This window comes from Homo sapiens, chromosome 14, assembly GCF_000001405.40.
Source record: "Homo sapiens chromosome 14, GRCh38.p14 Primary Assembly".
Lineage (NCBI taxonomy): Eukaryota > Metazoa > Chordata > Mammalia > Primates > Hominidae > Homo > Homo sapiens.
The window spans coordinates 92,998,000-93,022,993 of NC_000014.9; the positions used below are offsets into that span (position 1 = coordinate 92,998,000).

General features: G+C 54.1%; 1 protein-coding gene across 6 annotated transcripts in view, besides 11 other annotated features; it reads right to left on the bottom strand.

Annotated features, from left to right (window-relative positions):
• The window catches only part of ITPK1 (inositol-tetrakisphosphate 1-kinase), a 179,012-nt gene that overhangs the window by 61,086 nt on the left and 92,932 nt on the right, over positions 1-24,994 (bottom strand). For all 6 annotated transcript variants that reach the window (NM_001142593.3, XM_047431351.1, NM_001142594.3 and 3 more), the window contains one exon: positions 18,677-18,802. In NM_001142593.3, the coding sequence (NP_001136065.1) occupies positions 18,677-18,802 (126 nt within the window). The remainder of the gene's footprint in view (positions 1-18,676; positions 18,803-24,994) is intronic.
• Positions 772-1,286: an enhancer, noted in NCBI's record as "H3K27ac-H3K4me1 hESC enhancer chr14:93465116-93465630 (GRCh37/hg19 assembly coordinates)". NCBI's record gives its function as "activates a minimal SCP1, AML or CMV promoter by ChIP-STARR-seq in primed H9 embryonic stem cells {active_cell/tissue: H9 hESC(primed)}" and the evidence as "EXISTENCE:reporter gene assay evidence [ECO:0000049][PMID:30033119]".
• Positions 8,583-9,494: an enhancer, noted in NCBI's record as "H3K4me1 hESC enhancer chr14:93472927-93473838 (GRCh37/hg19 assembly coordinates)". NCBI's record gives its function as "activates a minimal SCP1, AML or CMV promoter by ChIP-STARR-seq in primed H9 embryonic stem cells {active_cell/tissue: H9 hESC(primed)}" and the evidence as "EXISTENCE:reporter gene assay evidence [ECO:0000049][PMID:30033119]".
• Positions 10,445-10,739: a silencer, noted in NCBI's record as "tiled region #15213; HepG2 Repressive non-DNase unmatched - State 23:Low, and K562 Repressive non-DNase unmatched - State 7:EnhWF". NCBI's record gives its function as "represses a minimal TATA promoter and a strong SV40 promoter by Sharpr-MPRA in HepG2 and K562 cells {active_cell/tissue: HepG2 | K562}" and the evidence as "EXISTENCE:reporter gene assay evidence [ECO:0000049][PMID:27701403]".
• Positions 11,093-11,594: an enhancer, noted in NCBI's record as "H3K4me1 hESC enhancer chr14:93475437-93475938 (GRCh37/hg19 assembly coordinates)". NCBI's record gives its function as "activates a minimal SCP1, AML or CMV promoter by ChIP-STARR-seq in primed H9 embryonic stem cells {active_cell/tissue: H9 hESC(primed)}" and the evidence as "EXISTENCE:reporter gene assay evidence [ECO:0000049][PMID:30033119]".
• Positions 12,819-13,320: an enhancer, noted in NCBI's record as "H3K4me1 hESC enhancer chr14:93477163-93477664 (GRCh37/hg19 assembly coordinates)". NCBI's record gives its function as "activates a minimal SCP1, AML or CMV promoter by ChIP-STARR-seq in primed H9 embryonic stem cells {active_cell/tissue: H9 hESC(primed)}" and the evidence as "EXISTENCE:reporter gene assay evidence [ECO:0000049][PMID:30033119]".
• Positions 13,321-13,820: an enhancer, noted in NCBI's record as "H3K4me1 hESC enhancer chr14:93477665-93478164 (GRCh37/hg19 assembly coordinates)". NCBI's record gives its function as "activates a minimal SCP1, AML or CMV promoter by ChIP-STARR-seq in primed H9 embryonic stem cells {active_cell/tissue: H9 hESC(primed)}" and the evidence as "EXISTENCE:reporter gene assay evidence [ECO:0000049][PMID:30033119]".
• Positions 16,581-17,082: an enhancer, noted in NCBI's record as "H3K4me1 hESC enhancer chr14:93480925-93481426 (GRCh37/hg19 assembly coordinates)". NCBI's record gives its function as "activates a minimal SCP1, AML or CMV promoter by ChIP-STARR-seq in naive H9 embryonic stem cells {active_cell/tissue: H9 hESC(naive)}" and the evidence as "EXISTENCE:reporter gene assay evidence [ECO:0000049][PMID:30033119]".
• Positions 17,083-17,582: an enhancer, noted in NCBI's record as "H3K4me1 hESC enhancer chr14:93481427-93481926 (GRCh37/hg19 assembly coordinates)". NCBI's record gives its function as "activates a minimal SCP1, AML or CMV promoter by ChIP-STARR-seq in naive H9 embryonic stem cells {active_cell/tissue: H9 hESC(naive)}" and the evidence as "EXISTENCE:reporter gene assay evidence [ECO:0000049][PMID:30033119]".
• Positions 18,042-18,542: an enhancer, noted in NCBI's record as "H3K4me1 hESC enhancer chr14:93482386-93482886 (GRCh37/hg19 assembly coordinates)". NCBI's record gives its function as "activates a minimal SCP1, AML or CMV promoter by ChIP-STARR-seq in primed H9 embryonic stem cells {active_cell/tissue: H9 hESC(primed)}" and the evidence as "EXISTENCE:reporter gene assay evidence [ECO:0000049][PMID:30033119]".
• Positions 20,475-21,258: an enhancer, noted in NCBI's record as "H3K4me1 hESC enhancer chr14:93484819-93485602 (GRCh37/hg19 assembly coordinates)". NCBI's record gives its function as "activates a minimal SCP1, AML or CMV promoter by ChIP-STARR-seq in naive H9 embryonic stem cells {active_cell/tissue: H9 hESC(naive)}" and the evidence as "EXISTENCE:reporter gene assay evidence [ECO:0000049][PMID:30033119]".
• Positions 21,259-22,042: an enhancer, noted in NCBI's record as "H3K27ac-H3K4me1 hESC enhancer chr14:93485603-93486386 (GRCh37/hg19 assembly coordinates)". NCBI's record gives its function as "activates a minimal SCP1, AML or CMV promoter by ChIP-STARR-seq in naive H9 embryonic stem cells {active_cell/tissue: H9 hESC(naive)}" and the evidence as "EXISTENCE:reporter gene assay evidence [ECO:0000049][PMID:30033119]".

Here is a 24,994-nt window from a genome sequence, read left to right on the forward strand (position 1 = left end):
AGGAAATGAGCAGGGAGTGAGACACAGGGATTTGCTCCTTCTAATGGAAAATGCTGTCAGAGTCCTGAGTCCAGATTCTGCCTCTGACATTGATTCTGTGTCTGGAGTTAACCCTCTGAGACTCATCCTGGGTAAGGTCCATTCTGAATAAAGCCTACCGGAGGCAGCTGCTGTGGGCATCATGGAGATCATGGATGCAAAAGGAGTTTGTAGACACAAAAATGAAAGGATTCTCATTACCCTGCAACACCTGGGCTCCTAGGGCTAAACCTGACGCAAGGTTTCTGGGCTCACCCTGCCTTGCCCTGTGCAGCCGACCCCAGAGGAGCCAGCTGTGCCCATGGAAGGGGGCTGTGGTTCTGGCCCATGCCCACCCTCCTGCTGATGCCTGGGGTGCAACACAACCTCCCAACCCCACCGGCAGCCCAGGCTCCAGGCAGCGACCTTCCAAGGGATTCGTTTTTCAGAGATGCAACTCAAAAAGGACTCACAGATTAAATAGGAATCTGGGATGTGTTTCAAAACAATCCGGGTTGGGGGCAGGGACAGAAGTAGGTGAGGGACGGATGAAATGAGAGTGGCTGCAGCTGCTGACGCATGAGGCTGGGAGGTGGCACCTGGGAGCACGTTGCGGCATTCTCTCTTCTCAAATATTTTTAATTTCCCATAACACAAAGTTTGGGGGGAAATGGGAGGCAGGTAATCAGATCTTCCCCTTCTACCCTGCACCCCTAAGTGTGCCAGAAATGGATTCAAACACCAATACTATCTTTCAAGAAGAAATAAGAGCCAGCTACCCAGATGGGAAAGACAACGAGAGATTAATTATAGTAAGGATAATAATAATAAATAAAAATGATCATCATCAGTAATCATTTAAAAATAAAGGCAGTGGCCACTTACCTGGGACTTGCTATATGCACACTGCTTCTTTCAATATAAAAACGCTATTGGGTAAAAGCCCAAACTATAAAACTTTTAGAAGAAAACACGGTCATAAATCTTCGTGACCTTGGATTAAACAACAGTTTCTTAAATGTGACCCCAAAAGCACAAGACAGAAAAAGAAACAGATAAAGTGGACATCATGGAAACTGGAAACCTCTGTGAGTTCCAGCCCCCATCTGCCCTAGGCCTGTGCTCTGAGGAGAGCCTGTGCGTGACCCGCCTGGCAGAGGCCCAGGGGCCCGGACTGACCCCTAAGCCAGCAGGGACGGCTGCGCACAAGGCAAGTCCTGGCAGGTCTCGCAGCACCTTCCCGTATTTGCGGGTCCCCCACAGCACAGAGAGGGTGGCAGGGTTTCTCCCCATTTTTCTCAGGACCCTGAGACTCTGAGAGGTTTTGGTCAGAGACAAAGTCCCGGGCTCCGGCCCTGCCCGTCCTAACAGCTTGCTCCTTCCTTCACTCAGGACCCAGGGGCTGAAATTCTGCCCACTGGGCTGCATGGCCTGAGCGCCGAGCGGGTACCATGGCAGGGCTGGGAAGGTCCTGCTCCACACGCTGCTTAGGAAATCTCTCCTCCAGTGGGTGGGGAGGCTGGAAGGGAGGAAAAGACCCCACACAGAGCCTGGAAACCCCTCCTCCTTGCTGGGCCTCAGCTCCCTTCTCTGTAGAGTGAGGGCTGATGGCATGAAGGGACTGCATGCCAGGGAGCTGGAGGCCGCCAGGCCCAGTTAACTGGGCCTTCCTCATTGTAAGCCCGGGCCTCACCTGTAAATGGAGATTGTACTTGTTCCTACCTCATAGGATTTTTATTAAAAACAGCCTGATTGAGATATCATTCACATACGATGCAATTTACCCCAAAGCAAGGGCTTTTGGAATATTAACAGGGTTGTGCAACGATCAGCTCAATTTTAGAACGTTTTCATCCCATCCGAAGGAAATCCCATTCCCTTTCACTCTCAGCCCCAAGTCCCAGCCTCTGGCAACCACACATCTACTTTCTGTCTGGGTAGATCTGCCTATTCTGGGCATTTCCTTCAAGCGAAGCCATGTGATGTGTGGTCCTTCATGACAGGCTCCTTTTGCTCACATCGTGTTTTAAAATGCATCCATGTTGCAGCGTGCGGCAGTGCTTTGTTCTTCTTTAAGATGAAATAGTACTTCACGGCATGGTGTAGTGTATTTTGTTTATCCATTCATCATTGGAAGGAATTTGGGTTGTTTCCACTTTTTGGCTGTTAGGAGCAATGCCGCTGTGAACATACGTGTATAAATTTTTGTGTCAACATACGTTTTCACTTCTCTTGGGTGTATAAATTGAAATGAAAATACAAAAGACCCCAGGATTTGGCTCCTCAGGCATGGATGTTTTAAATCATAGTCATAATGATCCACCACAGTATACAAGTGTAGCACTTTTCTGGTTCAACAAGGGCAGTGACACAAAATATTGCATTTGATTCTCAGAGCAGCCCCATGGTTTACAGAGCAAAACGTCTCTGTTTTTATTCCCATTTTATAAATAAAGAAACCAAGTTTCTGAGAGGCAATGTGACTGGCTCAAGGTCAAACACAACCAGCTGGGGGGCTTTGCCAGGATTCAAAATCAGCCATTCCAGTGTCAAACGCCAGGCCACTGCAGTGCACCTGGTCACCTACAGAAACAGGCTCTGTGACTGAACTGTTGTGCATCTCCAGAAAGGCTAGGGAGCACCTGAAAGCTAAACGTTAGTGAACTCGACATATCACTGTGGCTCGCGGTGGCTTGCGCCTGTAATCCCAGCACTTTGGGAGGCTGAGGCAGGTGGATCACCTGAGGTCAGGAGTTTGAAACCAGACTGGCCAACATAGCAAAACCCCCCGCAAAAATACAAAAATTGCCGTGCATGGTGGTGCACACCTGTAATCCCAGCTACTCAGGAGGCTGAGGCAGGAGAATCACTTGAACTTGGGAGGCAGAGGTTGCAATGAGCTGAGATTGCACCACTCCACTTCACTCCAGCCTGAGAGATAAAGTGAGACTCCAACTAAAAAAAAAAAAAAAAAAAAAAAGGCTGGGCACGGTGGCTCACGCCTGTAATCCCACCACTTTGGGAGGCTGACGCGGGAGTATCACAAGGTCAGGAGTTCAAAACCAGCCAGTTAGAGACCAGCCTGGCCAACATGGTGAAACCCCGTCTCTATTAAAAACACAAAAATTAGCCGGGCATGGTGGTGGGCGCCTGTAATCCCAGCTACTCAGGAGGCTGAGGCAGGAGAATCGCTTGTACCTGGGAGGCAGAGGTTGCATGAGCTGAGATTGTGCCACTGCACTCCAGCCTGGGTGACAGAGCAAGAATCTGTCTCAGGAAAAACAAACAAACAAACAAACAAACAAAAAACGGCAAGCACAGGCCTGAAAGTCAGCGTGGGCCTGCCTGGAGTTTGCTTCTCGGGACTCCAGCTTTCCACGTGGAATAGATCAAGCATCAGAGGGGGCACAATTCCGTCACCTCCCCCATGGCCACAGCAGCATCAGCTGGGGATGACAACAGCCTCCTGTACTGAACCCAACAGGATTCTAGAATCCTGATCACCACCTGGCTCCAGAAGGAGATAGGTGTCAGCACCAAGGCGAACCCAGCGTGCCACACCCAGAGGAAACTTCCCAGCCGACTCTAGGATCCACTGCATCAGGGCCTGTGTGTTCAGTTAACACTCAGCTACCCCACTAACACCAGTGATTCTACCCTTGACAGAAGAACTGAAATTACTTCCTTATGGCTGTTAAAAGTACTCACAGGGGCTTTCATGGGAAAGGAAGCGACCCTGGGCTCACTCAGCACAATTTCACTCCCCTGGCTCCTCCTGAGAGCACAGCCAGGCCCAGCTGAGGGCCACAAGGCCTGGCCTTTCCACCAGCTCCTCCGTACCCAGCGCCGGGTGAAACCCTGGAAGTCTCTGGTTCCTGAAGCCTTGGCATCTTGACGGGGGTCCTGCCAAGATTCCAGGGTGAGTTATAAACATGCTCACCACGCACGGGTCACAGACCTATACACCTTGCAGGAATGGACATGTTTCCCCCTCAAAACAACCCTATGTAGATCCCGTTAGCAGCCTCATTTGACAATCAAAGAAACTAGGCCTGGCCAGGTGTGGTGGCTCACGTCTGTAATTCCAGCATTCTGTGAGGCCAAGGCAAGTGGACTGCTTGAGTCTGAGAGTTCAAGACCAGCCTGGGCAACATAGCAAGACCCTGTCTCTACAAAAAATTAAAAATTAGCCAGGCATGGTGGTGCGCACCTACTCAGGAGGCTGAGGTGGGAGAATCACTTGAGCCAGGAAGGTCGGGGCTCCAGTGAGCAGTAATCACGACATTGCACTCAGCCGGGGCATTACAGTGAGACCCTGTCTCAAAATAAAATAAGAAGAAAAAAGAAAACAAAGTAGGGCTCAAAGCACCTAGTAGGTGGCCAGGGCTCTCCCTGCGAGCAGTGGCCAAGATGGAGTCTGAACCCAGGGCCTCTGGCTCCAGAGCCCTCCAGTCAAAGACCCAAGGCATGGAAGGCCTGGCGAAATGAAAAGCATCTCAACTCTAACTAGGGCCAGGGTTGCTCTGGGGCATTTCAGGAAAAAGGGAAGCCTTTCTCATGTTCACTACCCCAAGGCGAGGCCACCAGCCTGACAGTCCAGGGAGGCCGGGTGTGTTCCATTTGGGGTCTGCATGAGGTAGAGCATCCAAGAAAAAAAATAGTAGATCCAGTTTGCGATTTCCTTTCCCAGAGGGAAAGGCAAAGATGGTCAGAACTAGCAAAACCCAGATGGACCCTTCATCCAGCCCCCATCTTTTTGGAAAGGGGAAAGGCAGTGGTAGCGAGGCCAAGGTCGCAAGGGAGAGTGGCAGAGCTGAGACTGCAGCTCCCTTTCCACTGTTCCTCCCAACCCATGGTCCTCACTGGTTGTTTGTTCTCTCAAAGCCACAGCTGGACCAGAGGCTCTGCATCTCTTCCCAGCCCTGGAGCAAGACAGATGAAAGCAAATGAAGACACACACCCCTTAGGACAGTAAATACATGACATAACTGAAGGCCACAGTCCACAGGGCCTCTGTGAGGAGGGTCCGCGTGGCGCAGGGGGAAGAGCGTGTCAGGGCCAGCACTGCACTTATGCACAGGAGGGCTCCCAAGGCAGCTGCTGAATGGAGTGGCCCCTGCAGGGGGAGGACTAACAGACATAACAGTGTCAAGAGCAGTTGTACTTTCGAAGGCAGAAAGTGTGGTTCTGCAGAAAGCAAAGCCTCTCCCTGGGAGGTCAGGTCACATGGGGAGGGGGTGGGGCCAGGCCAAGCAATGCTTTCTGGGAAGGACAAGTAATGAACCCTCTTGGCAGACCACTGCAACCGTGAAACCAACCCCTGTTGATTAACTTGTCATCAACCAAGGCCAGCCGAACATCCCCCAGAAGAAGTCTTCCTGGCACCTCCCAGAACACCTGCCTGTTGATTACAGCTTACAGAAAACCACATGCCACAGATAGTCCTGGGAAATCCACACTAGGCCTAGGTGCAACAGAATGTGCCAGGTGGCCAGGCTGGCATAGGGTTGGAGTTGGAGATGCATGCAGGTAAACCTTGGAGGTGGGCTCTCAAGAGCCAAAAGGAGGTTGCAGCAGCATCCACTGTACGCTGGGACAGGACCACCAAGCCTAGCTACCCAGGGTGCCATTCACAAAGCCTACCACTGGGCTGGGCAGCGTGCAACCTATGTAACAGTCCTGACAGTCAGCCAAGGCTTCTGCCTGCCCATCACTGTCAGATAATCTTTTGCAGCCCAGCTACACCTGGCTAACTTAACCCGAGCGCGTGGGTCCTGGGGCACTGTGCAAGTTGAAACAAATGCAGAGTCAAGAAACTTGGGTTACAAGTCCTAGAACTGCCATTCACTTTATGTGTGTTTCTGAAAGTCACTTAAGTTATCTGTATCTCAGTTTCCCATCTGTAAGATGTGTGGGCTAGAATAATTCATTTATAACATCCTTTCTGCCTCTTAAGTTCTAGATTATTTGATTCTGTGATGTGACGAACAAACCAAAAACAGAGCTGTTAGGCCCCTGAACGGAGCCAGATGCCTCCCAGGCCCAGAGACATTCAAACGCAGGAGCCAGGGCCTGCTGTCCTCAGAGCACACCCACGGCATGGTCACTGCACGCATCCCAGTCGCCTGCAAGCCAGCGAGATCCATGCCCACCACAGGTGAGGGAGGGAGGCCAGCAGGAGGCACACCCTGGTGGGCAGTGGACAGCTGTGCATTGGCGACAGGCACCGACCACCAGCCCAAGCAAAGCTGTCCTCTGAGGCTGCGGTTCCCTGCGGTCTCTGTTTTGCCTGGATTCAGTCCTAGTGTGTTGAGGCCATTTCCTCACTCCTTCTTTCCTAACTTTTCTAAAACGGCTCCTTGGGAGAGTTGAGCTCCCCCATCAGCAGACACTTGGGTCTTAAGCAACCCTCATTTGTATTCCAGAGAAATCTCCCACGTCTGAGCACTCAGCCTGAGGCCTCCCAGACAGTACGAGAGCAGAAAGAGTGACAGCCTCTGAGAAGCACGTGTATGTGGGAGCTTGTGAGTGAGTGCGTGTGTGTGTATGAGTGTGAGAGCATATGTGTGTGTGTGTGAGAATGAGTGTGAGAGCATATGAGTGTGTGTGTGTGCGTGCGTGTGTGGTGATGGATGTCACCTATTCAGCTATAGAGCAGCCACATTCTCCCCACCCTCCCAGAGGCTCCTAAGTGGCGGCCATGTGGCTGAGCAAAGGAGAGGCGTGGGGCTGACCAGCAATAAAGGAGCAGAGGAGTGTGGGTGCGGGGGGCACAGGGTTGGGGGCTGGGGAGGAGCCTGCTGAGGTTGGTGATGTCAACCACAAAGGGCCACAGGCATGGGCCAGGGGAGAAAGGGTACTCCAAGCAGAGGGGACAGCAAAAGCAGAGGTCTGGGGTGAGGGAGTCCAGCACATTCACGGGCCTGCTGGGGGCCTGGCAGGGCTGGGGCGGACGGCAGTCTCAACATGAAAAGTGAGGACAAGGTAGAGAGCAGGAGACGGACCAGCTGAGGAGTTTGGACTTGACCCTAAAGCAACAGGGTCCTGAGCTGGGAAGTGACAAGGACAGCTATGGGTTATGGAGTGACCAGTCCAGCAGCCTGCAAGGCCACAGGATGGAGCTGGGGATGGATGCGGTCTTGGTGGTGTGTCAGATGTGGTGCTGGCCTTAGGGGTATGTGTGCTGGACCTCACTGTTCAGGAAGAACTGATGGGCTGCCTTCATCTTTTATACAGTGATCTCTGTGATTTGGTAGAGCTGGCAAAAAGAAAACTCTGATGCAATCTGCCTCTAGGTCTATCAGCTCCTGTGAGCCAATATTTAAACCCATGAGCTCAGGCTGGGGTGGTCAGACATGGAGTGCGGAAGAGAAAAGTGAAGTTTGAGAACACAGCACCAGACAGGGGCAAGATGGCCCAGATTCAGGGTCCGGGCAAGCCAAGTGAGGCAGCATGACACCACCCTTCCCAGGGCCTGGAGCTCCCAGCAGCAAAACCAACAGGCAAGAGGAGGAGACTGCCAGGATCCTGGCACCCTCCAACACTCTGTGACTCCATGCCAAGGTAAACTGATTAGAGACGCTTCCTAAGGTGGTGGAAAGGGACCAGTCCTTGGTTGGTGGCAGTGTAACTGGTACTGCTTCTGCAGAGAGAAACCGGACAACAGCCAAAATGCAGAATGCGCAAACTCAGCATCCCGATTCCTAGGTGTTTATCCTACAGAATTCCTCACCTGTGCACCCAAAAATACATGTACTAGGCTATTCACTACAGCATGTTTCTAAAACATGATCAGAAATGCCCTAGGTATACACCAGTAGAGAGCTGGCTTGGTAAAAAGGACAGGGAGGCCGTTTAACATGCAGCAGTTAGAATGAGGCTGCCTGCAAAAGACTAAGATGAGATCACTTCCAGGGCATACCGTACAGCCCCATTGTACAGGGGCTGTGCAGCGAGGAAGACTGTCTCTGTTCAGTCCCACAGAACCCCCTGGAAAGGCTCCAGGCCACTGGAACTGATGGCTGCCCCCCAAGATGGGAAGCGGCTGGCTGAGCAGCAGAGGGACTCTGTTCACAAACTTGTTCCAAATGCATGTGCCAGCTCGTTCAGGACTGCTGAGAGCCGAGCAGTGGTGCGCAGGGCAAGCCACACTTAGGATCCATCAGACTCACAGTCCATGTGCAAGCTGGTCAAACTCGGTGTCCCAGGCCCAACAAGGGGTAGGGGAAACGCTGGAGCCCTGGGAAGGGCTGGGGAAGCTTCCCTGGAGCAGACGCCAACAACAACCCATCCCCTCCCTGGTGAACAGAATGAATATAGAATAAGGGATTCAAAGCAACCAGGCTCCAGCCTCCAGGGTGAATGAACTGTACATGATTCTCCATTTCAGATTGGGGGAAGGCATTAAAAGGGGCTGTGTGGGGCGGAGCAGGGCAGGGGCCCGAGCACGCAAATGGGGCACCCTGAATGTGATTCTGCATGCAGACCCCACTGTGTCTCCTGTGGCCTGCAGGTCACAGGCACACCCATCCTGAAGGTGGGTGCTACCCACAATGGTCACTTCGGGTCATCCTCCCATGGGGGCTACTGAGGCATTACAGTGTCATGCTCCTCACTTAGCCGCCTGGCATGTGGTGTGAGCCACGGCTGGGAGAAACCACAGGCTCTCTGGGGGGGAAACTGTTGTTCAAGAGCCAGCAGGAAGACCCATGCAAAACAATGGTGTTCAGGCCAAAAAATAACCCTGACTGCTACAGAGGAGAGGGCTGGAAGGAAAGAGAACACTATTATTTGGAGACAGCAAACTCCCCCTTTTTCCAGGCCTGCCACTGAAAACAATACCTCCCCTCTGTCCCCAGATTTCACACCAAACTTTTATGAGCTTTCTCCACCTTCTGTCAGCGGGAGGCAGGCAAGGTGCCCAGCCAGAGCTATTCCCCTGACAAATGCCACATGCTGTGTCACAGCACCATCACACTAGTCAGGTCCTCTAGGCGACCAGGGAAGGATCCCGCAGGATGAAGGGACAGCTGGGATTTCCACGCAGATGGAGCTGGAAGGGGTCGGTCATCTGGCCCACTGTCACAGCTACCAGCTGAACAACAGGAGGGCAAGAAAGGGGCTGCCTGCCCAAGGTCACACGGAGCTGGGTTCCACCCACCTCAGCAGCAGCCCCACGCCCCCTAAGCACCTGTCTGAACCCCTACATGCATTCCCACGCACCTGCTCAGGTGGGCCTATGCAGCTGCCCCTCCCCTGTATACAATAATACACAGAAGAGCAGCTTCCCTACATCAAGGCCAAAGGTGACATGCCTGCTGGAGCCCCACCCACCCCACCCTGGCCCACAGTCGCCCGGCCGAGTCTGACTTTCAGTTCCCAGAATAAGCCAATGCCTCCTGGCAGCCCATGGGCTCCCCTGCCTTGTCCGTGTGATGCATTGCTGGGTTTGCAAATGTGACTCACAGCCAGCAGGGCTTACAAACTAGTGTCTGCAGGGAGAGAACAGTCATCCAGAATCAGGGCACAGTTTGCGGTGGTGCTGCTGACCTAGGCCAACTGGGTCACTGAGGCCAGAGGACCCCTGGGCTCCTCACCTCTGCATCCAGCCACCCGAGTCTTCTAGTTTCTGGTACAGGCTCTAGGTGCACAATAAGAGAGACAGATCCTGCTGCCAGGGGTGACCTGGCTACGACATCTACCCCGTGGATGACACTGGCCTCTGTTCCACATGTCAGCCATCCTCTTCAGTGGCTGCGGGCATGCTCAGAAGTGGGAGTCGTCCTGCCGCCCCAGGAGCTCCTCCCTGACCTCTGACTGCTGCAATGGGCAGGGCCCCTTCCTCCTCAGAGAGCTTGGGGACTAGAAAATGGCACGTTGTCTGTGGCTCAACTTGGGGCCATCAAAGAGGGGAGCTGGCACGATATTTTGTGTCCTCAAAGAGCTACCCAGCGCTCCCAGGAGGCCACCAGGCCCAGGCTCAGCCTGGCTCCTGCCAGCCCACTGCAGACAGCCCTATCCACCGTGCTCCAGCTGCACCCAGCTACTGCGGGTCCTTATGCCTCCATCCTGTTTCACTGAAGGGCCTGGTCAGGTGCTGCTCCCTTGCCTGCTCCCCTCCTGAGTGTCCTGCCCTTTAGGCCTCAACTCAATGTCAGCTCTTCAGAGGATCAGTAACAAGGACCTCCCTGTTCTCCCAGGCCTCGGTGTGTTTCTTCCTAGTACTCGCCATCACTGGGGCTGTGTTACCTTGTCCTCTATTTACCTATGTTTTGTTCCCATCATCCGATGCACTCACACTCAGATACAGCTCCAGCAGGGCAGGGGCTGCGTCCACCAGGTCTTATTCATTGTTGCATCTGTAATGTCTTTTAGGAGAACTCTGGCAGACAGTAAGTTCTCACTAAGACTTGCTGAATGAACATAATAGTTACTGATGAATGATCTCACAGATCAGTGGAGAGACAAACGGGTAGGGGCCAGGGCCAGATCCAGGGCTGGCTGCCAGGAGGCGTGGGAGGCCTGGGGCAGGGACCTATAGGGAGGGGCTCAGAGGATATCCTCATGCCTCACTCTGTCCATCCCAGAGGGCCGAGGTCAGCAGAGGCCCAGCGCGTGGTTTACCCGGCCGGCTGTGCTCTTGGCTGGTGAGGTGGCAATGGGATTTATTACATGAAGACAAAGGCAGACACAGTGGGCTTTATCACGGGCACACAGCCTGCACAGGCAGCACAGAAACACGTTGGGAAGTCATGCCACTCACACAAACCAGGAGGAAACAGAAAACAGGGTGTCCTTTCTGCCGCAGGTACTAATATTACTGAAGAAAAGAAGTGACAAGATGTTAGTCCTCTTGGTGTGTGATTCCAAACACTAAAACCCAGAAACTGCACCCAGTGGGGCCTCAGTGTCCACACAAAAATCAGAAACAACTTGACTGGCCCACCTGAGCTCTCAGAGCTGCTGGACCCATCTCTTACAAAATGCAGTGACGCTCGACCAGGGGTGGCATGGGCTCCCTCCACCAGGGAACATCTGGAGACATTTTTGGTTGTCATGAGGGGCAGGGTGGGGAGTGCTGTTGGCATCTGGTAATGAGCAGCCGGGAAGGCAACTAAGCACCCTGTATTGCCTGGGATAGCCCCTAGCAGTGCAGAATTATCCAGCCCAAGATGTCAATCATGTTGAGGTTAAGAAACCCAGAAATAATGTGCATAAAAGTTATTTCTAAAACTTTGGGGAAAATGTATTATTGATAAACATTGATATTTCTAAAACTCAACATGCCCCCAGACCTTGAGCTGAAAAACCCTGACCGTCCACACACAAGCAGAGGGGCTGCAGCCCACATGCTGGCTCAGAGCGCAGGCTTTGGGGTGCCCTCTCCTGCCCCTGTCCCAACTGGGCTGCACAAAGTCTAGCTCTGTTCCTGGTTGGTAAGAGGGCCACATGTCTTCCTGGGGACCAGGCTTGCTTTCCACAAGGGGAAGCAACTGCAACGGGCTAACGGCACAGAATGGTCCCACCCTCCCCGAAGCAGAAAGGGCGATTCCTGGCCTGGCATTGGTGCACAATGGACAGATTGTGTGGCTGTCTCCACCACAGGAGGAGTCGCCTATGACCCAGGGCAGCAGTCATCGAGAGGCTGACCTCACAGCAACCCCAGAACAGGACATGATCTGTTTCTCTGGGACCAGGGCTGCCAGATGCGTCCAACTCTGCCTCCCGTAGCATCTGCTGGCCAGCAGTCTCATCGTCACACGGCACCAGCTGTGTCAGAGGCAATCCCAGACGATGACCTCCTGCCAAGGTGGCCCTGAAATCACCAACCCTCACACCACCCACAGTGCCATCAGCTGTCACCAAAGCCCCTCCGAGCTATGATCCTGACCTTGCCACTTTCTACCTGACCCTGGGCAAGTGACTTAACTTCCCCGGGCCGCAGTTGTCTCCTCCTGAAAAATGGGGAAATAATTCCATTATCTCAGGGACTGAGATGGGGACCAAAGACATAAGAGATGAGAACGCCCGTGGCAGAATGGGTCACGTGGTACATTCTTAGAAAATAGGGAGCCCTCCCATGGCTCCCTGGTGACAACACAAACCCCTTCCCGGGGCCCATGGTTCTTACTCTGACCCCACTGGTCAGCAGGCACAAAGGCAAAGCCGACACAAGCCCACTTAGATTCTACGGTGTTATTTATCCTCTGATAGGTTTAGATGTTATCTTCCAAGTCGGACTCGAACACCTAGAACAACAAAAACCTTTGTTTCTTCTACTTCCTCTCCATCCCTGTGCTGGCGACTGCTCAATAAACATCAGGGGCCAACAGGGTTTGATTCAATGCAGCTGTGAAATCACATTTGTGGCAAACGTGAACCGCGGCCTTGGGTAGTCCTTTGGAGGCAGACGCAACAGCTCTGAAGGTGTTCTGTGCCATCCTGCACCTTCCCTATGCGGTAGGCAAGGGGACCGAGGCCCAGGTGGGCCAGCAGGTGAAGGGTGGGGCTAGGAACAGCACTTGAGTCCCTCTGACCCCCACCTGGCCCTGCCTTTTAGGCATTTCCACTGCCCTAGCACAGAATGCATCTCCCGTTTGGGGACACTTTCATAATCACTGCCTCACTGACTCCAATTAGGACTGAGAGCTCTCAAGTCAGCTGGGGCCACAGATAAGGCTGACAGAGTAGTCCTACTGTCACTGTAATAATAATATTGACATAAGCCACGGTGACTGATGGTTCACTAGGCGCCGGGCCTGTACTGAGTGGCTCGTACGCATCATCACACCCCAGGCACTCACAGTAAGCGTGGCTGACTGACCCTTACACACACGTGCACCACTCACACCATGCCAGGCATTCACAGTAAGCGTGGCTGACTGACCCTTACACACACGTGCACCACTCACACCATGCCAGGCATTCACAGTAAGCGTGGCTGACTGACCCTTACACACACGTGCACCATTCACACCATGCCAGGCACTAGGGGAATCGCAAATTTTAATTAGTTTAATGCTAACAATAACCCTACAAGGTATTTTAATTGTTTTTAAGAAGAAAAAGGAACTATGCAGTATTGGGTTCCCTTGCCTGTAGGGAGGTCCAGTGAGATGGATGAGTCCGTGTCACCACAGGGCAGACACTGAGAGCCAGCATAAGCCTCACTGCCTTCTCATCCCTCTGCCATGACGGCTGTCATTTCAGGCTGCAAAGCTGTAGTTAACCCTCCGTGACCACGTGGTGCAAGCCCAGCTAAGCCTGTGCTGGGTGAGGGGAGCTGTCTATCCCTGTGGCGAAGCCTGGCCTCGCTTGGCGGACTAGCAGGGAGGGCCCCAAACATCACCCCCTCCCACCAGCTCCCAGCCCTACTCACTTCCTGTCCCCTCAGGAGGATGGTGGGGTCGGGGAGGCACTACTGAAGGCTACACATGGTTTCCTTCCAGGGACAACATGAGAAGAACCAGTGTGGCCAAGTGTGCATTCTCTTCCGGCATCCTTCGGGGCAGGAGCTTCCTTCCCAGATCCACTTTAGATGATTACACACTGAGAGGAGCCAGGAGGTGAGTGCAACTTTGTCCTGTGTAGGCTGGGCAAGGCTCAAGCTGCTCAGAGGCCAGCCTTCATGGCAGCGGAGGGAGGGGATGCTCAGGACCACATGCAGGGGCACCTGGGGCTGAGGATGGGCACAACACTGAGCCTGGGGCCATGAGCTCCTTCTTCAACTTGGACGCACCTGGGCTCCAAAGAGTAAACAGTGTCCTCAGCTGCTCAGAGTTCATCTTGCACTGGCAATCTCCCCTTCCAAGCAGGGCCTCTCTCTTGCCAATTATATCTGATCATATCACCGCCATCCCCGCCCCACCCTCCCTGCAGGATAGAGTCCAAGCTGCACAGCCTGGCATGAAAAAGCCCTCAAGCTCCGGCCTTGCTGCTCCCTCTCCAACCTCGCTGACACCTGGAGACATCGCCGCACATGCCCATCAGGCAGCGCCATCTGCCTCATTAACGCTCCTGGCCTCCTCCCTCCCCGCTCCAAGCAGCCCAGCAGAGCCACGTCCTCCCTCCGCAAGGCCATCAGGGCACCCCATGAAAGGCCGCCCCAGCGCATGACCAGCACTGGGCATGCGCCGCCACCCAAACACTTAGGCACTGCAGGCGGCAATGGGAACACCAGCTGCTGGGAGCAGACACAATCCCTGCCGCAGTGAAGGGACAGACAATAGCCACTGATAAAGAATTACGAACTTCCGAAGGGCATGAAGGAAAAGTGCAAAGTTGGCAGGGCCTGGGACGAGAGATGTGTCATTAATCAGCTCACGAGGGAGGACATTTCTTGGGAAGGGGCACTGAGCTGACGGAACAGCTTGTGCAAAGGCGCTGAGGTGGACACACATCAGAGCCTGGGCAGCTGCTGAGGGGGCCAGGGAAGGAGCGGGTGGGGCAGATCACCGAGGCCCCATGGGTCAAGCTGGCAATCATGGCCTTCAGTGTCACAGCAATAAGAAAGCATGGGATGTTTTAAGCCAAGCTGTGCTGTGATCAGACCTGTGTTTTTCCTAACTCATCACTTTAGGGGCCGTGAGGTCAGTTCTGGGTCTGCCTGCTGGCCTCTCCTCCTGGCCAGGAGCTCGCGGGCAGGGCACCCAGCAGTGCTGCCGCAGAGGACACTCTCCTAGCAGTCTGTGTGCAGACCGGGAATTCAGGGGACATCTGAGGGACAATTACCGTCCTTCCAGCTGATAAAGACAGGGCAAAGGCAGCAGTTGAGACTGAAACTTCCTTCTTAGTCCTAAGCTTATTCAGGGAGAACCCCAGGAAGGTCCCCCGAGGCAGCCCCACATGGCCCATGGATCACAATCACAGCACCCCTTCAGGGGCAATTCCAGGGCTAGAAGGGGCAGCAGAAGAGGACGGTGGGCCCCTCCCTTCCCACCCTGCACCCACACCTGTCAGGTGGCTCTGGGCGCCACAGCGAGGAGAAGGCTCGTGTTGCCCCCCTGGGAAAGCCACTCACCAGGCCAGGAGGCCCCTAGTGTCCCCGAGCCTGAGGCAGGGACCCTCTCGGCATGCCGGCCCCACTTGCCCACGTGGGCAGGCCCTGGGGGCCCCTGCCTGGTTCTGCACACTGAGAACCAAACCTCAGGCAGAGCCTCAGGGGCAACAGGCTGCTGGCTCCACATGAACCTTGGAGCAGAAAAACAACTGAATCATCCCAATTGAGTCTCCAAGCCAAGCCATTTAGAAGCCAATCAAAAACACACAAAAAACAAACAAACAAAAACAAAAAAAATCCAAAACTCTGGGGCAGTGATGAAGGTTCTGTGACAAGCAGCTTTAATGTTCTGCAGTAAGCCTCTGGCCCACAGCCTCCACCTGCCCACCAGGGCAGCCAGAAGCAGGCACGGCCTCCTGGCTCTGGGAATTTCTTCCCTCCCTGGGGACCGGAACTTTCACAGAGGCAGCCCAGTGCAGTGCTCTGGGGCCCTGAGGAACATCTCAGAAATTCATTTTTCTCCACCCACACAGCCCCAAACCACTTCCTCCTCCCTCCCAGGACCTGAGTATGGACTGTGGAGAAGGCCCTTCAAGCTGAGTCCCTGCTGGGGCAAAGCATCTTGCCTCGGTTTCCCTGCTCACAACAAAATGGGAGGACCCCAGCTCTGGGTGCTGCTTCCCCTGCCTCTGCCTATAGCATCCCTATCCCTCCCAGTCCTCAAACCACACTCATGCCTCCTTGTTAATGTCTAGAGAATAAAATTTAAAACAAAAATCTGAAAACAAAGGGCACGACTGAGGTCAAGTGTCCGCCTCCCTGGGTCTATGTGGTCTGGCTCTGAACTTGCATCTTATGGCAGAGGGAAGGGGACGATCAATGCTGACAGCCCAGTGACCGGTGGTAGAAGGAAGCCTCTTCCCCAGCCCCCATCCCAGTGCCTCTCAGTCATTCTCTGTGCCAACCCTGCCTGCCTCCTCTCTCCTGGGGCCTCTGGAAAGTGCAGCCCCGCACCCTTTTCTCCAAAGGATTGTTCTCCTCACAAAGGAGGAAACTTCCCACCTTATCAGATATCCGGCCTCTTACTGAAGCACAGACGGTGATGAAAATTTATCCCAGAAATATCAGTGCTGGGAGGTTATGGTGAGGTCACGGCAACCATCCCCCAAGACCCAGACAAGACACTGCCTGAGAAATGCACCTGTGGCTGCCTGACAGCCTTAAGCCACAAGGCCCCATGCTGCCCTCCACACACGCTCCCTGTTAATATTGTTTTCTGCCCAGAAAAGGAACACAGCGGGCACTCTCATTCACTGTTTGGACATCACTTGCCTGGGCTGTGGGCTGTGTGTGTGTCTGGGAAGTGGGCAAGAGGGATAAGAGCTTGGGAGCAGATGTTCCAGAACTCCGGGCCCAGGCTAGCTGGGAGATGTGGTCTCTAGGAAGAGCAACCGTGTGGGTGTGATGAAGTGGCACTCAGCTACAATGGGCACTTTACACCCACAGGCATTTACTCCTCCCAGCAACCTGCCCACCCAAGGAGGAAGGAACTGAGGCTGTGGGGAGGCACGCGGTTCCTAAGTTTTGGAACAAGGATCTGCCTTGAAGACAGTTTGACTCCCAAGTCCTCCGCCTCATCCATCTCTGGAGAGGCCACACGACAGGTGAGGAGAGCAAGCTAGCGCAGGCTCAAATCCCACCTGGACCACTTTCTAGTTGTCCTGCAGCTGCTTCTTCCTCCACAGGACGGGAATCATTGAACCTTACAGCTCATGGGAGCAAGTGGGTCAACCGCCATGAAGCGCTTTCGAGCAGGGCTTGGTAAGCGGTAACTGCTCTGCAGTGCTTTCTGAGGTAACGGTAATCAGGCATCTGGAAGGCCATCGTCCCCCAGATGGACTCAGCAAGAGATGCACCATCCCTGCCCCAAAGGTCTGCGTGGCAGCCCAGGCATGGCTGTGCTCCTCCAGAGAATAAGCCCCAAGGGCACCACAGGCACATGAACTGGGCACTCAGGGGCCTTCCGAAGGAGACGGGGGTGAGGCAGGAGCAAATGGCTCAGGGGAGAGGAAAGTCGCTGTATGACTTGGGATCAGCTGGGACCACACCCCAGGACAGTTGTGTAGGTTGGAGGCAGAGAGGAACAGAAGAGCAAGCCCTCAGGATGAGCAGCGGCTCACCTGAGAAAGTCAAGACTGACCCCCGGCTCTGCTGGGTCCCTGTGGACAAGCTGCACATGCTTCCACGCCTCCACTTCCTGCTTATCAACAAGGCTGGTGAGTCTGCACTGAGGGCTGTGGGGATCAAATGTAGCACATGGGTGAGTGCTGATCAGCCCAGCCCTGGCACAGGGCAGGGACTCAGGAAGCAGCACATCACCAGGGCACACATCTCCTCTGTCTTGTTCCCCTCGAACCCCAGCACACTCCTCCCAACATGGTCTGAGCTTTTCTTATTCCTAGCACCCATTTTACAAATAAGGAAACTGAGGCTCCACGAGGTCACAGAGGAGCCCGACCATGTTTTTCCCACAGTCTCCAGTCCGATCAAGGAGACAGTGTTCAGCAAGTGGAATGGACTTGGGGCCACTGGCAGGGCAGACGCCCTGGAGGGCACAACGTGGGACATGCCCTGCCCCCAAGCAGGGGATGCCAGGAGCAGGCTGCCTCTGTGTCCGGGGCCACTTCCTGGTGGGAAGCAGGAATGTGCAGCAGGGAGTTGGCCAAGGAACGGGGTGAGAGCCCCAAGGAAGCAAGGGGGGCCAAGGCGGCTGACCCCGAACACACGGGGAGAGAACAGTGTCGGCAGGACGGCAGCACCGGGTGACTAGGAGGCGGGTAAGATTCCCTTTGTCCTGGTGAAGAAAAGCAGGGCACCAAATCTGCGCCTGTCACACGCTAGAAACCCCATCTCAGGCATCCCCATCCCACTAGGCACACCTGAAAACAGCTACCATCTTGACTGCACTTTCACTGACAATACAACTTTGTTTTTCATGACCTCTGAGCCGCTTTCTAGAGGACAGAATCACGTTCTTGTCCACAACAGAGAGAACACAGGACAAGTCAGTAGCCAGCATGAGAACCCCAGGGCAGTGGGCAGGTCACTGTGCGATCAGGACCTGGGAGGCCGCTGGGGAAGTGGTGTGGGGAGAGGGAAGCAGCCAAGGGACTCAGCAAGATACCTCAGGCCATGCTCAAAGGTGAGTACCCAGGTCAAAGTAATGGGCAGAGGCAGGGTTCTCCACCAAGGCAGGACTCAGTTCAAAGGCCCTCGGGGGTCCCCTTTACCAAGTGCAGCAGAAGGGTTCCATCCCTTGTGCCTACCTGAGCCAGGGGAAAGGGTTGCACATGCCTGTGCTGAGGACGTGGAGGCCACACTGGAACTCAGCGATGCCTCATCAGTAAACCGTGTCTACACAGCCAGGGGGTGGAGACGGCCCAACCATGCCCTGGTTCAGTCCCCACGCTACACCCGAGGACACTGACGCCGCACAGAAGTACCTGCCCACGAGCCCATGTCTTGCCAGTGGCAGAGCCATTTCTCCAGACTATACCTCCAGAGAGCTGCTACCGCCCTAAATACACACACGGCCATTCCAGGGCCTCCCCTCCTCCTCCTGAAAATGCCACAGCCAAGGGCTGCATGGTCCTCACTCACCTGGAACCTGTGCACCAGCTCCAGGGACTGGCTATCATTCTGGTCGGCTTCAAGGATGACGTCAGTCAGCTTGTGGATGATGACGTCCAGGGGGCCCTGCTCCTCGATCGGCCGGCTAAGGTTCAGCTGTGAGGCAGGGAACACAGACAAAAGCAACAACTTCAGCACCTGAGTCCACTGCCCCCATCCTCTTGTCCACCCTGGGGCATATCACCAGAGGACCCTCGAGCCTCCCTGTAGCACTCTGGAGATGGGGCAGGAGGAGGGCTGACATGGAAAATACAGACAGGACAAGCAGGACAAACCCTCCAAGACCCCACAACTCTTCTCTCCTGCTAACTCCTCAAGGGCACACCCCACGTTTGTAACTTCTGTTCCCCAAGCCCCATGCTACCCAGGATGCAGAAGACACATAAGAGGAATCAGGGCAATAGTGTCAACAGGCCAGGCAAGTGATGCTGAGAAATGGCTTTACAGAGAAAGGCTTTTCTCAACACACCCCATCTGCCCTAGGAAAACTAGGGTTCCAAGGGGTTATGTAAATGACTAACATCGCACAGCCAGATCAGAACTTAGATCTAAGTGGATACTGCTTCTGCTAATCTATAAAAAGCCTTAGCAAAGCTGTGGTCCTCAGGAATCTAGAAATTGCCGCTTTGAGCGACCAGCCACTTGCACTTCACACTGAAATCTGGGCTCATCGGGAGAAGCGAAGGCGCGTAGGGCTGCCTGCAATCTGTTCCATACTGCTCTCCTGCTATGCCAGGGAAGGTGTTTATTTTTGCAAGTGCCTGAGGTTGGGAAGATCAGGCCCCAAGAGAGCCAGAGCCTCTGGCCAACAGTCAGCGTCACCTGACCCCAAGACAGGAGCACCTGCCAAAAGCCAGGGCAGCCTGACCCCCGCTTCCTGACCCGCCACATGTCTCCCTCCCGGCACGCGGCCACCACCACCTGCAAGGCCAGTGCCTCGGAGGCAGCGGCGCCAGCCCGGCACCTGGCTGACCCCCAATCTGGCCTTAGCAGAGGCCAGAGAAGGCCACAAGCCCCACCCCTGCTCTCATCCCCACCCCCAAGTGGGTTTCCCTCCAGGATTCAAGGCTGACTGTTTTAAAAATGTTACGAAAGACATCATAATGACAACTACAAATGGTCACTGGCAGTGGGCACCACGCTCAAAGCTTGCGTGCATTTCTTTCATTGTATTTAACAACCACTATGAGAAGTGATTTTACGAATGAGAAAAGTGGAGGACGGAGACTTTTAAAACCTGCCTAGGGTCTCACAGCAGGAAGGCGGTGAAGTGGGGACACAAACTCAGATCTAAGGCTGCGCTTCTCACTCCATTCCCCGCTGCCTGCCCCTGCAACCCCGCTCCCCACGCCTGCTCTGTGCCCTAGGCAGCTGTCCTCTCAGGCCACAATCACCTGGCTGCCTTGTCCTCTGGCCAAGTCGGGCCAACTGGAGGCACAGCAGAAGATGGGCAAGAAGGAGAGAGGGAGGGAATGTATTTGCAGCATCCTCACGCCCCCACCCCCTGCCATATTTCTGGCAGCAGTCACAGCCCCCATGGAGCAGGGCAGCCCCTCTCTCAACACTACCGCCTCCCCTATGGCTCCAGGTACATTTTTGGTCCCCTAGTCCCCTCAGGCCTAGGGGTGGTGACAGCTCTCAGGGCTTGTTAGCACCGGGGAACTTTGTCCTGTGCTGGCTCTCGGGCCTGCCCACACCCTGTGATGGTCCCTTACTAAACTCCTCTCCGTTGCACCCCCGGAACGCAGCAGCTCTTGTCTGCTGGTGTCTTTAACTCCTCTTTCTTACTGTTTGCCAGGAAAGATGTTAAGGGATTTCCCCTATATAGAAAAAAAAAATATCCTTTAGACCTCACAATAAGAAACTACTAAGGAATGCTGTTCCCTCCCCATGGTGACAGGCCTGTGTACAAAACAACATAAAATAAAACCAAAACCAGGCTAGCTGAGAAGCTGCCCATCTCTGGGGCTCTTGGGTGAGGAAGGGGAAGGGAAAGACACTTCCCAATATCTCCTGAGACTTGGCGCCGGCTCATCCTCACGGCAAGCCCAGGGGCCGGGGAAGACGCTCCCTGCTGCAAAGACCAGGACACCAACGGCCCAGGAAGGAAAATGACCAAGCAAGGCCATGCAGGTGAAGCGGCCAGGATGGAGGCTGTGCAGCAATGCCCATGTGTCAGTCTCCATGAGCAGCCCGCTGACCTGGGCTCACCATCCCCTGGGGCCTCAGTTTCCCCTTTGATAGAAACAAGAAACTGCAAGAGCTTTGATGGCTCTCTTCACAGATTCCAAATTACACTCCACCCAATACCTCTTCCCAGAAAAAGCAGACTCTGAAGGAAGGTAGAGAGGCCATGGGCAGAGAACACTGGGCTCTCAGACAGAGCCAAACACCAACCCATTTCCACTACAGCCTGTGGCTTCGGTGGGTCAGGCACCACAAACGAGAGGCCAAGACAGCTACGAGCGCAGGGGGAGCCGGGCCACAGGAGCGACGCATCCGGGCCCACAGAACCCCCATGCCCACCAGCACCCACATCTCCAGACAGCCCTCCAGGTTTCCCTGCCTGGGAGAAACTGTGGGGTTCCCTTGGCGCTGGGGAAGGAGGTGAGCAGAGGGGACGCCCTTGGTGTCCTCCCCTGGCATCAGCCTGAGGCCCGTAGACCTGACAACCGCAGCTGTTTGGAAAATAAGCTCTCCGCATCCCCGGCGCTCCACTGAAGGTAAACAGCTGAGCTCTGGAAACGGGCCACCCTCCTTTGTGTATTTTCCAAGCATTTTCATGCCAGTAAAACCCTTCTGTGAGAACAGCAGCTTGGGACACACATCAGGCCTGGGCTGCTCTCGGGTGCGGCCGCCTCTCGCTGTGGCGTCTGTGCTGGGTACCAGCAGGGCTGCTGGCAGCTCTAGTGGCTCTTCCTCAGGTGCCTGACATGCCACAACTGCCCTGAAGGGGTCTGTCCCCTGAACACACTGCAAACAGGCTGCGGTCTCCCTCCACTAGCTAGAAAAGAGATGGGCCCTTGGGTGCGGCCCCCACAGGAGAAAGGGCCCAGCTCCTGAGACTGGGGAGGCCACGGAGAAAAGGACACTGTGCAGGGGGATGCCCGGGGGGAAGGACACCACAGAGGCAGGTCTCCCAGATGCGATGGGGACAGGAACTCATTTCAAGGTTGTCATTCTGCTTTTCTGACCACACTCTGCCCCCAGAAAAAAGAACATTCCCAGGGACTTCTTGTTCTCCTCAGAGGACGGGGTCTGGTTTGTCCCTCCCAGCAGGAGCAAGGGTGTCTCAATGAAAGGCTGCCCGCCGGGGCCTGAGGTCTGTGGGCACTCCGTTTCCAAGTCATGCCATCTCGCAGGGCCCATGCTGGATCCTGCTCTGTGTGGCGCTTGGAGTTCAGAACTCAGAGAAAACAAGGGGCCACTGTTTCCCTCAGGGACGAAGGCAGAGACTTACTAGAGGTGGGGGCAGGGCTGGGAGACGGCACAAAGGCCTGCAAACCCCAGTGGCCCCAGAGTCCTCTTTGACTTCCAAAATGATTAACCCAATCGTACCCAGCCTGGTAACCAAGCTGAGCTAGGCCCTGACACTATCCCTGTCTCTCCCAGGATCTGGAACTGGGGAGGGGTGGGCCAGGCAGACAGGCCTAGAAACCCATCTCCAATCCACTGCTTCTGAACAAGAGCAGGTCACTGAGCTGTGTGGTACCTCAGTTTCCCCAGTCATAAAATGAGGATGCTACTCACCCTTCCCTGCACCTCACAGGATTGTTATGAGTCCCAGAGCAAAAGTTCAATCCTCTTTCACATTTCTCAACTCACCTCAGCCCAAACAGGAAGAATTAGTGGCTCCCTTGTGTTGCCCACAGCCCCAGAACCCTTTGCACGTCGCTCCAGGATTGCACCGTAACCCCAGTTATGATGCTGATTCTTTAATCCACTGTCTCCTGCTCCTGCGCTGGGGGCTGCTCTTCCCCCACGGTATCATATAATCTTTCTGACCCAATTCCTCAATTTCTCAGTAACTGGTTTCCAATTACTCAGATAATGGGGAGGGCTGTGTGGCCACCGCCCTCTAGGAACCTCAGTTTCCTTGTCTTTAAAGCAAGAAGCCTCGCGATCCCAGCACTAGCACCCAGCTCTTGCACACTTGCTCGGTGCCAGGCTCTACTCTAAGCACTTCACATGCACTGAGTTGCTCAATTCTCACAATAGTCTGAGACGGGGACTCATGAGAGGCACAGGGTGGTTAAATAACATGTCACAGTCTCACAACTTCACACTCACTCTTAGCAGTACCTAGCCAGTGACACTCAATAAATGTCAGCTATTGTATTTCCCTATACTTACTATTCTTATTATTACTGACCAGTGGAAACTTCCGAAAAGTTTTGTCCCAACCAAGCTTGAGACAAAATGGCCCCAATAAAGGGTGAGAGGGCTGAAGTCTGACTTATTCCTCTGCCCTCTCCATGGATCTGAGAATCTGGGACAGAACTGCCATTGCCAAAGTTCAAAGGCCTTGCCAAGCAGAAGCAGGTCTCTCCAGAAGGGAAAGTCAGATCTGGGAACCTCATGGACAGACTTCCAGAAGGATGTTGGGGCCGGACATAGTGGCTTGTGCCTGTAATCCCAGCACTTTGGGAGGCCAGGTGGGCCGATCACTTGAGGTCAGGAGTTTAAGACCAGCCTGGCCAACATGGTGAAACCCTGTCTCTACCAAACAATACAAAAATTAGCCAGGTGTGGTGGTGTGCACCTGTAGTCCCAGCTACTTGGGAGGCTGAGGTGGGAGAATTGCTTGAACCCGGGAGGCGGAGGTTGCAGTGAGCCGAGATGATGCCACTGCACTCCAGCTTGGGCGACAGAATGAGACCCTGTCTCAAAAAAAAAAAGAAAAGAAAAAGAAAAAGAAACGAGCTTGGCCTCAGAGGACTCCATGCCAGTGGTGTGTTTTCAGTGGGTTTGATTCCAAAGGAAGACTGGAGAAGAGGAGATGGAGTCTTTTCCCTGGCAAGAACAACTCTCATTCTCAAAGGTGCTCCAGAGAGGTCAAGAGCTAAAGGTCATTTGGGGCTGCCACCAAGACCAGCAGGCTGGGACAAGGATGGTACTGGTCACCCTAGCAGCCTCTGCCCCAGGCTGGGGAGGGAAGCTGTTGAAAATGCTCTCTGACCCAATTCCCTGATTTCTGAGTAACTGGTTTCCAATTACTCGGATAATGGGAAGAAACGGCAAACTCGTGAAGGCATAAGAGTGGGTAACTTTTCTCCCTAGAAGATAAAGGGTCAAGACAACTAAATGGCCTGAGGATGGTGCTACCTTGCAGAGCCAAAGTTCTGGGAATTTACGAGCTGACATTAGACCCAGAAAAGCTACACCCATTCAGCAAGCACAGCTCCTTAAGAATAGGACTGACCCTGAGTTCTCAGGATGGGCCAGTCCTGTTCTGCGTTCCCAACACTGGGTGCTGGAAGGCCAGGTCCAAGAGCAGGCAAAGGATAAGCACACCCACTCCCAGGATGCTGGCCTAAGGAAATGATCAACAAGTGAAGGCCACTTCTGGCCTAGGGAGAGTCACTGACAACATATTGACAAGAGAAAAGACACAGAGAGCATGTGTGAAAACGGGGTGCTGGCTAATGCTGGGCATGCCACCACAAAGGGCTAGTCAAGAGCCACTGAGATGGTGTGGCTGGGCACAGTGGGGCACACTTGTAATCCCAGCTACTCATGGGGCTGAGGTGGGAGGATCATTTGAGCCCAGGAGTTTGAATCCACCCTGGCCAACATGGCAAGACCACATCTTTTTTTTTTTTTTTTTGAGACAGTCTCGGTCTACCGTCGAGGCTGGAGTACAGTGGCATGATCTCCACTCAGTGCAACCTCTGCCTCCCGGGTCCAAGTGATTCTCCTGCCTAGCTTCCCAAGTAGCTGGGATTACAAGCGTGCACCACCACACCCAGCTAATTTTTGTATTTTTAGTAGAGATGGGTTTCACTACTCATCTCTACCAGATGTTGGGCAGGCTGGTCTTGAACTCCTAAACTCAAGTGATTCACCTGCCTCAGCCTCCCAAAGTGCTGGGATTACAGGCGTGAGCCACTGTGCCTGGCCATATCTCTTAAAAAACAACAAAAACAAAAAAACAAAAACAAAGAAAAAAACAGTAACTGAGATGACAATGAAGAGGTCTTGATAGAGATAAGAGTAGGTGCTTGAATTACAACCACATGAACCAACATTTACTGTGGAAAAGGCTGATAAGAAAACCCAGAATATGAA